Source organism: Homo sapiens, chromosome 10 (genome assembly GCF_000001405.40).
Source record: "Homo sapiens chromosome 10, GRCh38.p14 Primary Assembly".
Classification (NCBI taxonomy): domain Eukaryota; kingdom Metazoa; phylum Chordata; class Mammalia; order Primates; family Hominidae; genus Homo; species Homo sapiens.
This window is the reverse complement of record NC_000010.11, coordinates 59,785,739-59,801,508: the sequence shown is the minus strand read 5'-3', so window position 1 is coordinate 59,801,508 and position 15,770 is coordinate 59,785,739. Positions and strand designations below refer to the sequence as shown.

General features: G+C 39.4%; 1 protein-coding gene across 1 annotated transcript in view, besides 1 other annotated feature; it reads left to right on the top strand.

Moving 5' to 3' along the window:
- The window catches only part of CCDC6 (coiled-coil domain containing 6), a 117,810-nt gene extending 105,048 nt beyond the window's left edge, over window positions 1-12,762 (top strand). The window contains exons 8-9 of the mRNA NM_005436.5: window positions 6,912-7,036; window positions 8,398-12,762. Coding sequence (NP_005427.2) covers window positions 6,912-7,036; window positions 8,398-8,592 — 320 coding nt within the window. The 3' untranslated portion in view covers window positions 8,593-12,762. The remainder of the gene's footprint in view (window positions 1-6,911; window positions 7,037-8,397) is intronic.
- Window positions 11,076-11,577: an enhancer, noted in NCBI's record as "NANOG hESC enhancer chr10:61549690-61550191 (GRCh37/hg19 assembly coordinates)". NCBI's record gives its function as "activates a minimal SCP1, AML or CMV promoter by ChIP-STARR-seq in naive H9 embryonic stem cells {active_cell/tissue: H9 hESC(naive)}" and the evidence as "EXISTENCE:reporter gene assay evidence [ECO:0000049][PMID:30033119]".

Sequence of the window (15,770 nt, the reverse complement as noted above, 5' to 3'; positions counted from 1 at the left end):
GAAAATTGATGTATGATGTCACTGAGGTCAAGGCAAAGAATTTCACCAAGAAGGGAGTGGTTAGCTGCCAGGTCAAGTACAATTAGGAGTGGAGATCAGTGATGGCGACCGGCAGCACAGAACTTACCACTGACCTTAGCTAGAGCAGTTTTTGATGGAGTGGTAGGGAAAGAAGCCAGATCAGATAGAGTTAAAGAGGATATTGTTTCCAAATTGTTTGAATTTTAACAAGGAAGATGTTTTCATATATAACTTGTGTGTGTCAAATAGGAAGGAAAAGTGCCTGCCTTTAATTTGTTTCCACAATTTTTTTTTTCTTTAGCCAAAGATATATTAAAACTTGGGGCAGTGAGAAGGGTATAAAAAGCAGAAATAAAGTCATCCAGAATTCTTTCATCCAAAGGCGGTGTTAATGTTTTAGTGTTTTCAAGTGTCTCCTATCCCACCCCTTGCAGTTTTCTTTTAAGTAGTTGGTTTCATACATATTATGAAATGCTTTTGTATCTTGTTTTATATTGCTTAGTGTGTTTTCTCAGTCATGAGTCGCTTTTAATTAATCATTTTTTAAGTTTGCAGTTTTGACAGTGAAATAAATCTTAGAATTTTGGCTTTTGTTAATACATTTCCATATCAAAGCAAGGGAAGTTTATTCCAGCAAAGACTTGATGTAAAACCATAGTATTATATTTAGTAAGCTGGTGTTTGTGGTTTGGCAATTTCAACTTAGGTTCTGGTGGGGAGGGGTTATCCTTTATTGTATTCCTGGGTCAGAGGGTGAAGATGCATGATAATTAGAACTTAAGGAAAAAAAAAATCAATAGTACATGATTTCCAACCTCTAAGAGCTTATAATCAACAGCAGGGCTTACAGAAGCAGGTTTAAAAAAAAAAAAAAACTTTAATACAAGGCTAAATGTAATAAATTTCATAAATTGTGTATATTGTATACCCTTTAAAAAGTTATGTAGTTAAACAAATGGCAGTATGTCTATTCAATGGAATACTGTTCAGCAATAAACAGATTAACTATTGACACTTAGAACAATTTGGATGGATTGCAAGGGCATTGAACTGAATGAAAAGACCTAATCTCAAAGGGTTACCTACTATATGATACCATTTCTACAACATTCACAAAGTGACAAAATTATAGAGAACAGATCAGTCATTGCTAGGATGCGTTAAGAGTAGTAGAAGGATAAGGATGGTTGAGCTGTACACATGCATAGGCACACAGAGAGCACACATGGAAGCTGATGAAATCCACACAAAGTCTGTGCCTTAGTTACTAATATTATACCAATGTCAATTTCCTGGTTTTGACAATGTGTTATTGTTATGTAGGGTGTAATCAGGGGAAGCTGAGTGAAAGATACATGGGAACCCTGTAATATTCTTGCAATTTCTTGTGAATTGTAAACTATTTCAAAATAAAAAGTTATAATTTTTATAAACCCAAGGTAAAATAGTTTAAAAAGAGGTTCAAAGAGGAGAGAGCGACCAGCTTAGAGAGCTTTTGAGATGGGCTTTGAGAGGAGTTAATGAGCTAAAGTGCATCAAACCCTTACTTTTTCCAGGCACTCTCAAAGCACTTTGTGATATTATCTCCTTTCATCCTCATGACAACCTTGCAAGGTAGCTACAGTATTCCCATTGAACAGCTCAGGAATCTAAAGCACAATGAGATTAAGGAACTTGTCTACTTAGTGCCAAGTGTCAGAGCTAGGATCCAACATAGTCTGACTCTAGACTCTGTGGTCTTTGCCTTCTGCAAAGGATGAGTGAGGTGCTGATTGGCACTGGGAGCAGGAAGAAGCTGTGGTAAAGAGAAGACATTCTCAGGCTAGGGCACACCATTAACAGAGGCATGGAGGTCTGAATCAAGAGCAATAAAATCACTGCAGTTCTCTTCACAGCTGCCCTGGGGTTCAGCTCCCTGGAGATTCTGATTCATTGGTTTGGGATAAGGCAAGCAGAACTTTGATATTCACTGTTGAGAACCACTGACCTGCAGCATCAGAATATAGTTTGAAGCCAAATGCAGAAGTCTTGGTAACAGCTAGAGAAGGAGATTTCTTTTTTCGAGATAGAGTCTTGCTCTGTTGCCCAGGCTGGAGTGCAGTGGCATGATCTTGGCTCAGTGCAACCTCCGCCTCCTGGGTTTAAGCTGGGATTACAGCTCCCAAGTAGCTGGGATTACAGGCACCCGCCACCATGCCTGGCTAATTTTTTGTATTTTTAGTAGAGACAAGGTTTCACCGTGTTGACCAGGCTGGTCTTGAATTCCCGACCTCAAGTGATCCACCCGCTTCAGCCTCCCAAAGTGCTGGAATTACAGGCATGAACCACCATGACCGGCCAGGATTTTTTTTTTTTTAAGTAAGTAGGCAGTACTCATAATTACCCTTCAGAAAAGTTAACTCAGTAATACTAGAACATTGACTATATTTTTAAAAATGAACTGAATCCCCTATTTGAAGACAAGGATCCACTTTTTTTTTTTTTTTTTTTTTTTTTGAAACAGTCTTGCTCTGTCGCGCAGGCTGGAGTGCAGTGGCATGATCTCAGCTCACTATAAACTCCACCTCCCAGATTCAAGCGATTCTCCTGCCTCAGCCTCCTGAGTAGCTGGGATTTATCAGCACAAACCACCACGCCCACCTAGTTTTTGTATTTTTAGTAGAGATGGGGTTTCACCATGTTGGTCAGGCTGGTCTCGAACTCCTGACCTCGTGATCCATCCACCTCAGCCTCCCAAAGTGGTGGGATTACAGGCGTGAGCCACCACGTCCAGCCCACTTTTATATTTTATAGCCTTTCTCTTAAATGTAATCACTTTCATAAGAAATAAAATTAGGATTTTATTCTCCAATGTTTTTTTAAAGAAAACAACTTCTTTCTTTTCCCAGATGAGTAAAGTTCTTGTGATTCCAGTAAATATCACATTAAAAAACCACTTAGTTCCCAAAGACTTGTCCTTTATCCCAGACCTCCATTTTGTAAATGTGAATAAAAACTCCACAATTGGAAATGGAAATATGTCAAATAGAAAGCATCACTAATTCATAGTCAAATCACAAAATAAACTTTTAGTATTAGATGCTGAGGGCACAGAAAAGTCCTGCGATAATAGCACAACTAAAGGAAGGCTTGGCTGAATATCTCTGTCATGGAAACAAAAAAGACAGATGGAAGAGCATACTTAACAGCTTCTTGTTTTTACGTAATTCAGAAAAGCAGTAAGTGGAGTTCACATTGCTTGGCCTCTAATAGCTGATAGTATGTTCAGAGTAATTGTCAATAGGTGATTCCTATCCACATTTCCCCAGACAGCTCCTCTGTTTTCCCTTTTCACTTTGCCAGTATGGAACCTACCCTGTGCAAGGTATTGTGGTAGATGTTGGGAACTCAAAGGTGTAAAGAAAGCTAGCCACATTTGTGCAGTGATAAAACAAGTAATTCCCCAGACCGGCTGGTGACTTCTGCACTGACTCTTGACGAGCAGGGCTTCACATGCCACATGTAGGTGAGGATCGCTTTTAGATGTTCTCAAAATATGGACCCCAATCCAAACCTGTCTAACAGTAAGGAGAGTCTGGACATACAGATGTTAAAACACAGTGGAGATGATCCTGGACTCCTACATGAAGACTACACAGAACATTATATTGGACTGGGGATTGTTTCTTCCTTAAATACCAGGTTCTTTTAGGGAACATTGGCAGGGCTTTCATTCCTTGTATTGAATATTCTCAAGTCGTGATATTCCCAGTGGTTTTGTTTGCTGTTATGGCTGAGACACACACACACACACACACACACACAACACTCTCACTCTCTCTCTCTCTCACTCACTCATGCCCACACTCTCCCTGTCTTCTTCTTGTTGATTTTTTTTTTTTTTTTTTTTTTTTTTTTTTGCTAGGAGGTTCAGTTCATTGGCTACTTAATATCTATCTCCAGTTTGGTCAATTGTTGATACATCTTTTGACATTTCTGGTTTTCTTGCATTTGATATTTACTCCTTTGCTCGATTTTCTCCACTTTATTCTTGTTCTTTCTCATGTCTTTTGCTTTCCTGAATCTCAGTTGAATTCCTGACAGGGTTTGACTTAAAAAAATCATTATTGTGGTGAGACCTCTCAATATAAGATCTATCCTCTTATTTTTAAGAATACAATACAGTACTGTTAACTGTAGTATAATGTTGTGCAGCAACTCTCTGTAGTTTATTCGTTTTGCTTAACTGAAACTTGATGGCTGTTGAGCAGCAGTTCACCGCCATTCTACTCTGTGTCTATGAGATTGGCTATTTAAACTCCTCATATAAGTGGAACCAGGCAGGATTTGTCCTTCTGTGACTGGCTTATTTCACTTAGCATAATATTCTCGAGGTTAATATATGTTGTTGCATATGGCAGGATTTTCTCCTTTTAGACTGAATATTCCTTTATATGTCTATATATATCACATTTTCTTTATCTGCTCATCCGTTGATGGACAGTGAGGTTGTTTCCACATTTTTTTTTTTTTTTTTTGAGATGGAATCTGGCTCTGTCGCCCAGGCTGGAGTGCAGTGGCACGATCTCAGCTCACTGCAAGCTCCGCCTCCCGAGTTCATGCCATTCTCCTGCCTCAGACTCCCGAATAGCTAGGACTACAGGCACCCGCCACCATGCCCAGCTAATTTTTTTGTATTTTTTTTAGTAGAGACGGGGTTTCACCATGTTAGCCAAGATGGTCTCGATCTCCTGACCTTGTGACCTGCCTGCCTCAGCCTCCCAAAGTGCTGGGATTACAGGCGTGAGCCACCGCTCCAGGCCTCCACATTTTTGCTATTGTGAATAACACTGTAGTGAATATGGGAGTGCTAATATCTCTTTGAGATCCTGATTTCAATTATTTTGTATAAATACCCAGAAGTGGGATTGCTAGATCATGTGGTACTTCTAGTTTTAATCTTTTGAGGCATTTTCATACTGATTTCCATAGTGGATGCACCATTTTACATTCCTACCAACAGTGTATAAGGATTTTTTCTCCGTATCCTCACCACCACTTGTTACCTTTTTTTTTCTTTTATACAACCTACAAATTGGGAGAAAATTTTTGCAACCTACTCATCTGACAAAGGGCTAATATCCAGAATCTACAATGAACTCAAACAAATTTACAAGAAAAAAACAACCCCATCAAAAAGTGGGCGAAGGACATGAACAGACACTTCTCAAAAGAAGACATTTATGCAGCCAAAAAACACATGAAAAAATGCTCACCATCACTGGCCATCAGAGAAATGCAAATCAAAACCACAGTGAGATACCATCTTACACCAGTTAGAATGGCAATCATTAAAAAGTCAGGAAACAACAGGTGCTGGAGAGGATGTGGAGAAAGAGGAACACTTTTACACTGTTGGTGGGACTGTAAACTATTTCAACCATTGTGAAAGTCAGTGTGGTGATTCCTCAGGGATCTAGAACTAGAAATACCATTTGACCCAGCCATCCCATTACTGGGTATATACCCAAAGGACTACAAATCATGCTGCTATAAAGACACATGCACAGGTATGTTTATTGTGGCACTATTCACAATAGCAAAGACTTGGAACCAACCCAAATGTCCAACAACGATAGACTGGATTAAGAAAATGTGGCACATATACACCATGGAATACTATGCAGCCATAAGAAATGATGAGTTCATGTCCTTTGTAGAGACATGGATGAAATTGGAAATCATCATTCTCAGTAAACTATCGCAAGGACAAAAAACGAAACACCACATGTTCTGACTCATAGGTGGGAATTGAACAATGAGAACACATGGACACAGGAAGGGGAATAACATCACACTCTAGGGACTGTTGTGGGGTGGGGGGAGGGGAGAGGCATAACATTAGGAGATATACCTAATGCTAAATAACGAGTTAATGGGTGCAGCACACCAGCATGGCACATGTATACATATGTAACTAACCTGCACATTGTGCACATGTACCCTAAAACTTAAAGTATAATAATAATAATAATAAAAATGAATAAGAAAAAAAATAATAATGGCCAACTTAACAGTTATGAGGTGATATCTCACTGTGGTTTTGATTTGCATTTCCCTGATGGTTAGTGGTGATAATCGTCTTTTCATATATCTATTAGCACATTTGTGTATCTTTTTTAGAGAAATGTGTATTCAAGTTCTCTGTGCATTTTTTCATTGGACTATTTGAGTGTGTTTGTTTGCTTTGAGTCATAGGAGTTACTTATGTATTTCGCATATTCACCCCATACCAGGTATATGGTTTGCAAATATCTCCTCCCATTCTATAGGTTGCCTTTTCAGTCTGTTGACTGAAAGTTTCCTTAGCGCAGACACTTTTTAGTTGAATGTAGTCCCACGTATTTGTTTTTGCTTTTTTTTTTTGTTGCCTATGTCATATCCAAGAAATCATTGCTAAGATCAATGTCAGGGAGCTTTTCCCCTATTTTCCTTCTAAGAGTTTTATAGTTTAAGGTCTTATAGTTAAGTCTTTAATCCATTTTGAGTTGACTTTTGTATATAGTGTAAGAGATAAGGTCCAGTGTCACTCCTCTGCATGTGAATATCCAGTTTTCCCAACACCATCTGTTGAAGAGACTGTTCTCTTTCCCCGTTGTGTATTCTTGGTGCCCTTTTTGAAGATCAGTTGACCATATACGTGTGAGTTTATTTCTGGGCTCTCTGTTCTATCCTAGGAATTAACATTTATTTCCCTTGTTATCCACACCATTTAGTGAGCCCATCATTCTTTTCATCTGTTTGTATTTTTGTGGGTGATAGAGAACTACTGCGATTTAAAACCTCCTAGATAGTTGAAGACACCAGATAGTTGAGCTTAAAATGATACTTAATTTGTTGTTATATTTTAGGTCTATCATATGCAAGTCACACGGTTGGTTTCACGCCACCAACTTCACTGACTAGAGCTGGAATGTCTTATTACAATTCCCCGGGTCTTCACGTGCAGCACATGGGAACATCCCATGGTATCACAGTAAGTGTCCGTGGGGTAGGAAGCAGCACTTTACTCCTGAAAGTGGTACCGACTGGTGTTCTGGAGAACAGGATCGGTGCCCTTAGACATTTGCCCTTCTTCCTGCCTCCTCCATCCGTTCACCTTGAAACTGTAGAGACTTAAACAGTTTGATACCAAATTCTGGTATTGAAACTAAAATCCTTCCCAGGAGACAAAACTTTAACTTCACTTCCTATGAAAAATTACCCTTTGTGAAATATAATTTGAACTCTGGCCAGTGCTTTGATTGAACTCTGGCCAGCTCCTTGCATTATTGTTGGTTGCCATAATGTCTAAAGATATTTATTGTCTGCACCTTCACAGTTCACTGACCTTCAGTATTCTTCCTGAAGTTAGCCTTGTTTGTAATGTTACTCAGAATTTTCTCTCCTCGAATTACAAGGAAGCTTAAGTGCATCTGGTTCCAACTCTACCCAAGGGAGTTTTTTCTTTAGAGTCGGCAATATAGTTGACTAATAGAGCCATTAGAAATGTAGCTAGTAGAGTGAGAGTATTATTAAGGGTATTTCCAATAACAGAAATACCAATATTTCAAAGAATAAATTATAATATTTTAAAGAAGAACCCTATTCTAAGAATGCACTTAAGGTATTTCTGAAGCTGTTTGGCCAGTTTGATGGACTTTATGTAAAAGTAGGAACTTTTTTTTTTTTTTTCCTCACTCTGTCATCCAGGCTGGAGTTCAGCAGCATGATGTCTGCTCACTGCAACATCCGCCTCCGGAGCTCAAGGGATTCTCTTGCCTCAGCCTCCCGAGTAGCTGGTATTACAGGCACACGGCACCACACCTGGCTGCTTTTTGTATTTTTAATAGAGACGGGGTTTTGCCCTGTTGGCCAGGCTGGTCTCGAACTCCTGGCCTCAGGTTATCCACCCACCTCTACCTCCTAAAGTGCTAGGATTACAGGTGTGAGCCACTGCACCCGGCCTCAAACATAGAAACATTTCTGTTGAGCTGTATCTTTCAGGATGTGGACAACTTATTGGAGATAAGCAATAGAGGGAATTGGTGACACACACGGAAAGAAAGATTTAAGGGGATATTTTACAGCTCTCGTTGAAGGACCCAAGTCCAGCAGTTTGTTCAACACAAGTTGTGCAGTAATTTTATGTAGCTTTTTCATAGGTGGAAGTGTAAACACTGCCTTATTTAAATTTTATTACTAGTTCAGAAACCAGTAGGGATGAAGAAAGAAATCCCTGGTTTCTTGTCTTTGTTGGTTAGTGTTTGATTAGCCCCAGTGCCAAGTCAGGCTGTGTTAGGTAGAATGAGATCCACCTGTACCTAGACTGACTTGCTGTTCCTGTCCCCTCTGCAGAGGCCTTCACCACGGAGAAGCAACAGTCCTGACAAATTCAAACGGCCCACGCCGCCTCCATCTCCCAACACACAGACCCCAGTCCAGCCACCTCCGCCTCCACCTCCGCCACCCATGCAGCCCACGGTCCCCTCAGCAGCCACCTCGCAGCCTACTCCTTCGCAACATTCGGCGCACCCCTCCTCCCAGCCTTAATGCATGAGCTTAGTCTGAATTTCAAGTTGGGACTCATCCAATGGAGCCGTCTACTCAACGCCAAAGGCTTCCTTCTCTGGCATATTTGGATATGACTTATTTGCACTGAGGTTATCTAGGCTTCACTATCCATTGTGTTGTAAATGTTTGTCAGAAATGCAGCCAGTGTTGTGGGTCTACAACACTAACCAGACGACTTTTTCCATCAGTGTTTTACTTGAATCTTCATGTACGTCCATTCCCTGGCTGGAACCTTCGCTGTTTGGTATTTGGTATTTCAGCAGCAGTGTGCAATTTTTGCTTGGCCCAGAGCTTCATTCTCCTGGCTTTTAGGTTTGTAAAAGAAAAAGGGATATCTTTTTTATATTTTTTTCCATGAATCTGCAGAAAATTACTGAGCTGTTGTTACCCTCCTCTCATTATAATAGTGTTTACCAAACATACCAATAATTCAGCACTACAATTCAGACCTTTGAAAATCTGGCTTTCAGTGTAGAACAGAAAGTTAGATGAATCAGTGCCCAAGACATATTTTCTGTTTAACAGAACTTTCTACAGATACATTTTTTACAGGTTATTTTCATTGTGTTATTGACATCCATGTCTCTCGTAAAACAGATGGCCCAAAGTAATGAATCATGTGGCTGTACCTTCTCCACATAAATGGGATGGATAATTATCGTATATTAAGATGTGATTCTCTTTTTTATCCTTAATGTTAATCTACTTAACCTGGCCCCCTCTAACATGAGTCGATAAATGTTGTCCTACTCACCGGTGGTTTCAATGGCTAATTAGAATGTGTTATTTGATTTCTGCTGCAGAAGGCAGTGTGATTGTAACAAAAACAATGCGGCTTCCCCCTTTCGTACTTCATTTGTGTTCTCTTAAAATAGAGTTTGAACAAATATTTTAAAGGTGCAAAATACCATTAGAAAATACTATTTGAAATGGACATTATCGCATTATCTTGGCATAATGGCCAGAAAATATTGTATTGCTTGGCAGAAAAGAAAATAAGGTCTAAAGGAAAGTAGCACATTAGCATTGATGGCTGTTCATTTCACCCAGTATAAGCAAGTGCAGTGTACAAAGAAGTATATTCTGAATACATTATTTCCATTCATTTAGCACAAATAAATCATTTGGTTTCACTTTGCAGTGGAACACTGAGTCACTCTTTTCTTAACACGTGCAACATCTTAATTTTTGTTTTTCAGCAGTTGCTGTTTTGTACTTTGGTAGTAAAGTGATTTTTACCACCTGTGTTTGCATATTTATATATGCTGTGGATGAAAATAACTTACTAGAGAATGTATATTTTATGACAAGAATGTGTATCTGTTGGATATAATCAGAGAACTGAAAAGTAATTTATCAGTAATTTTTAAGAGTCCATGTTTTGTGACAACCATCTCTAATAGCCAACTCTTTATTAAACACACTCCTAAAAATAAGGAACCATGACATTGTAGATATTTAATATTGTACAGTATAGAAACCTCCATTTTTGCCTTCGAATGCATATTTAAGAGTTAACAGAATGAAAAAAAAAAGTCTTGTTGGATAATAGTGTTTGACTAGCGTTTTAAGAACTTGAGAGTAAAAGCAACAATAAGATTTTTTCACCTCTTCCTGCTTCCACCCCCAAACTGAGAACATCACTCAATTGTTTGGAAGAAACTGTAGGTCTATATAAATTTTATTTATAATGTATGTGTAATATACATAATCATAATACAGTTCTCAGATGCAGGGAAGAAGTTTGGCATTTAATCATTGAGGCTTTAGGTTTTTGATGTGATCAGACTGGGCCATGTCAAACCCGGAATTTTCACCAACAGTTCACTCACCCTCCTGGTACATTGCCATTCCAAGGAATTCTGAGAGTAGGCAAACAAATTTTGCCTTCATGGTACAGTTCTCAGTTTTTCTTATAGGAGAAATATGGTATATGTTTATAAGAATCTTTTATGAGATTATAGATTTCAATGCTGTGGATAGTGTCTTGCACCCAAACAAGAAAGTCCATAATGGAATGATCTTCCCTCAGCTTCCTATCGATTTAGTTACCTCTTGAAAGCACAAAAATTAAAACATTGCCATATGTTGAATTTTTAAAAAGCACTTGGAGTGAGCGAACATTTCCTGATAAATGCCTTTTAGAGATAGGTTCTTGATATTCAGACATCTGCAGAAATGTTCTGGTTCCCAAAGTCATTTCACTTCGAAATAAAACACAGCTCCTTCAAACAGCACTTTTTCCACATAAATCTAGTTGCCTCTCCCTGTGGACATTCAGAACTGATAGAACAAACACTACTCTTTTGAATTTGATGGTTCGTGTCCTTTAAAGTGTTTGAGGACCTATGCAGAGCCTGTAACACTTGGGTAGTACCTGCTAGGACAATTTCTTGGCAATTGTCTTACTACTAGGGATCAGTAAGATTTAGATTCTGAGCCCATAATGGCAACAGCCCCCTCACCTATGGGAAGCTGACTTCCCTCAGTCGGGCACTTCTCATGGGGGCTGAACATGGTTCCTGCCATTCTGTTACCCACTCTCCCAGGTGAGCCCTGGATTGGCTCCCAGAAGGCCTTTGTAAAATCAGTAGCCGTCCTGCAGGCAGGTGGGAGCAACAGGGGCTTCAGTAGCTTCATTTTCCTGTCTTGCAGACAGAGACCCTTGGCTACCACTGTGCTGCTAATAGGATAAGTACTCTGTTGCCAGATTACCATGCCTTTTATACAAAACCAAATTAACTTACCTAATACCTGACACCTCTTTGGGCTCTGAACTGCTTTCTCTCATCAAGCATGCTAGCACTCTAGACAGAATTCTAGAAATTTGGCAGATAGTGGAAGCCTTTAATTGAACTTACTCCTTCGTTGACTGAAAGGAGTTTTAAATTCTGAGCTCCTGAGATACTGACTAGCAACCATGGAATGAATGTGTGACCAGAAAGTGGCTTTGACACCAAGTGCTACTGTCCCTTTGTAATTGGCTTCTAACAGAATTCAACCAGAAATAATTGATAATGTGAATTTTTGTTAATTGTTCACTTGTAGGAAAATAGAACATGTATCACCCTTTGTTAGGTAGACATGAACTTTTCCTGCACAAAGCCTTGCTTTTAGAGAATGCCCAATAAGGCAAGAAAAAGCATAGTAACTTGTGCTTTGAGAGCTCAATATTTGTATCTTATCAGTACAGAAGAAATATTTCTGTGTAACTTGATCTTCTGTCTAGTACTTGTCTTATAGGTAACCAACACTGAAAACTTTGTAGTGATGACTACCAAAGAAATACATAGTAAAACAACCTTTTATTTCCAAATTGTTAAAGAGCCAGCCATTGATGCTGCTACATGAGTTCCATGCTCAAGAGCCATTGTAAGAGATTAAGGGGTTTCTAGGTTTTTGGTGATTTTTTGTTTGTTTTTTTCTTTGTTTTTTAGGGTTTTTTTTTCTTCTTTAATTTTTTGATTAAAACATACACACAGCTGTTAGCATAAAGTCGTGGGGGGCATTTTCTGGAATGCTCAGCAGTTCTGATTAACTGCCAAGCCCAGGTTGCCTCTCATGAGGCAACTGAAAAAATCCTGTGTCTTGATAGCATGGGTGCTGTGTGTGTGCATGTGTGTGTCTGCATTCATGCCTTAACTCGGGTTACTGCACAACTTTAGTTCTTGACTTAGTCTGCACCGTCATCTAGATTGTATTGTACATCTCGGTCTGAACTTCATCCTGGCAAAAACAAAGTTGCAGGCACAACAGTTTAAGAATGCATTCCTCCAGAAGAGTATCTGGTCAGGTTGACCCCTGAGCCTTCTTTGGACTTGATTTGGAACTTAGCCTGGAAAGCGAAAGTGGACTGTCCAACAGAAAGATGTCAACAAGGAAAAGAGGAGAGCCAAGCGCTAGCATGCCTTTTGCCTCTGCATATCTGTGCACACTGTATGTTGTTCATGATAGCTTGTCTACAACTTGACTAGGTTGGAGTTCTGGTAATAGTGGCAATCTTGACATTCTTGGTCAGAGTTTAGAGAGATGTAAGACTTTCAATTAATGTCTTATTTACTCCTTTATGTTGATTAGTCTTTGATACATGTGCTGAATCAGAAACCTAAATAAAGATAATTTTTTAAAATGTACCTCTTGAGCCTTAAACCCTATCTTTTTTCATTTCGGTTTTTGGGAATAAAACATTGTTTCTCTGTTGCTTCTGACAGACATCTAACTTAAATTGTAAACTCTAAAGGCTGCCTTAGAAAGTAAATTTAAACAACTGGGTGCAGTGACACAAGCCTGTAGTCCCAGCTACTCAGGAGTCTGGGGTGGGAGGATCACTTGAGCCTTGAGAGTTCGAGGCTGTAGTGAGCTAGGATTGCGCCATTGCACTCCAGCCTGGGTGTCAAAGGAAGATCCCATCTCCAAAAAAAAATAAGGAATGATGGCACGAAAAGGGCTGGTATAGTTTTGCTTATTTGTTTTTGACGGAGTCTCACTCTGCCACCCAGGCTGGAGTGCAGTGGTGCAATCTTGGCTCACTGCAACCTCCACCTCCTGGGTTCAAGCAATTATCCTGCTTCAGCCTCCCAAGTAGCTGGGACTACAGGTATGTGCCAACACGCCAATACAAGTTAATTTTTGTATTTTTAGTAGAGACGGGGTTTTGCCACATTGACCAGGCCGGTCTCAAACTCCTGACCTCAGGTGATCCACCTGCCTCAGCCTCTTAAAGTGCTGGGATTACAGGCGTGAGCCACCATGCCTGGCTAGTTTTGTTTCTTAATCAGAGTGCTGGCTGCTTGGATGTGTTGAGGTTTTGAAAATTCATGAAACCGTACACTTAACGATTTGTGCACTGCTCTGTATTTGTGTTGTATTTCAGTTTAAAGCAGTAAACCTGAGGTTATGAAAAGGAAAACCATGCCCATTTCCAAAATGTTACATACAAATATTTATGTACAGGATTTGGATGTCACATTTGGGATGTTTCGTGAGCTTTAAAGTTTCAATCCACCTGTTTGGTGTTTTTTTTCTCTACTTTGTTGGAAGCATGGCTTTGGGATCAATTCTAGGTTTGAGTACCAATTATTTTCCTGGGATAGTTACTTAACTTTTCTGGGACTCAAGTTCCTTACCTGTAAAATAAAAATGTTATTTATGTGCCTGGCTAAAATAAGAAAATTGATGGATGGTACAGTATAGTCCTTCACACACAAAATCAGACGTGGACTAGTCTCTTCCACATCCATCCAATGAATGAGTATTTGGGGTAATGTTTTACACATGCTTGGGGGTATATGGTTTGTCAGTTGCATTTTCGTAAGCCCATAGTAGTTAGAGTCCACATTCTGTGGAAGAAATGCACAGTACTCAGTGGGATCCTCTTGGGAGTATAGTTTTCAAGAACCCATTTGTGATGCCGTCGTTTTTTTTTTTTTTTCTTTTTTTTGAGACAGAGTCTTTCTCTGTCACCCAGGCTGGAGTTCGGCTCACTGCAACCTCCCCACCTCCTGCGTTCAAACAATTCTCCTGCCTCAGCCTTCCCAGTAGCTGGGATTACAGGTGCCTGCCACCACGCCCAGCTAATTTTTTGCATTTTTAGTAGAGACGGGGTTTTGCCATCTTGGCCAGGCTGGTCTCGGACTCCTGACCTCTGGTGGTGACCCACCCACCTCGGCCTTCCAAAGTATTGGGATTACAGGCATGATGTGATGCCATCTTATGAGTGCAGACTGTTTAAATCTAGGCTGTTTTCTATATAAAAGTAAATAAACCTTCAGTGAATCTTGACTGACTCTGGCTTAAGCAGGATTCCATTTTAACTTCGTGAAAGCAATGAGTTTTTAATTTGGTTGAAATGACCAAATGACAAAACTCCTCTCTACCCGTGGCAGCTGGATTTTAGTTGTAACTTGGTGAAAATATTAGCCAAGGAATTTCCCAGGACCTCTGGATTCAAGTCTTAACCTTCGTCCTGCCTTAGCCTCAGTTTTCTACTGGTGGAGATAGCTGTTCTTATTTCAGGTCAAATTTGAAGAAAATTATTTAAACAAAGTGCTCTGAAAACAAGTAAGTAAAGATTAAGCTGCATGTGTATTTTATAAAATTTTAATATCTTTTAAAGGCTATGTGTCCACATGGTGCCTCTAAAATTGAAACGGTTGGTCTAGAACATTTTTTGTGTTTATGTAGAACTCTTAAGTAAATCTGAGAGGTCCTTGTTTTAACATGTAGGCTATTTAAATTAAAAACTTGTGGAAATGCAATTCTGTCACTAATATATAATTCAGCTCAAACTTTTAAACATTGTCTTTAGAAAAACAAGAAGTCAGTGCATGGTAAATTATGGTTTGTGTCTGATGCATATGTTGACATGAGGGATTGAATTCCTGTTCCTTAAAGTTTTCTGTCCAGTATCATCCCTGGTTTCATATTGCATTGAGTGCTATTGAGCTGAATATATTTAGATCTTTTTCCAAAGGTCTTATTTTCTGATACTCTACTGATAACTTAGTGCAACTTTCAAGATTACTAATTACCCCAAGAGGAGATCTTAGTAATTAATCTTAAATTTTTCATCTTAAAAACAAAAAAGGGAAAGTCAGACTCAGAAAAACAGATGTTTTTCTCTCAGGGAAACAATGATAGAATTAACAGACAAGGATGTGAAAACAGAGACTTATAAACGTTCTCCATGTGTTCAAGAAGACAGCGAAGTATAAGCATGGTCAGAAAAATTGAAAATAAAACCTAAGTTGATCTTTAAAGATAAAAAATACAATTTCTGAAATTTAAAACAATAAAAACTTGTTTTAAGTCTTTTGTGGATTTATGTTTGTGCTCTTTGAATGTACCTGAGAAACATTAAAAGGCACCCCTGCTGGTCGGGCACTGGCACAGTGGCTCACACCTGTAATCCCAACAATCCTTCCAGCCAAGGCAGGAGGATTGCTTGAAGCCAGGAGTTTGAGACCAGCCTGATCAACATAGTGAGACCCCCATCTCTACCAAAAATTAAAAATTAGCCAGGCATGGTGGTGCATGCCTGTTTTTCTAGCTACTCAGGAGGCTGAGGTGGGAGGATTGCCTGAGCCCAGGAGTTTTAGGCTGCAGTGAACTATGATCATGCCACTGCATTCCAGCCTGGGGAACAGAGTGAGACCCTG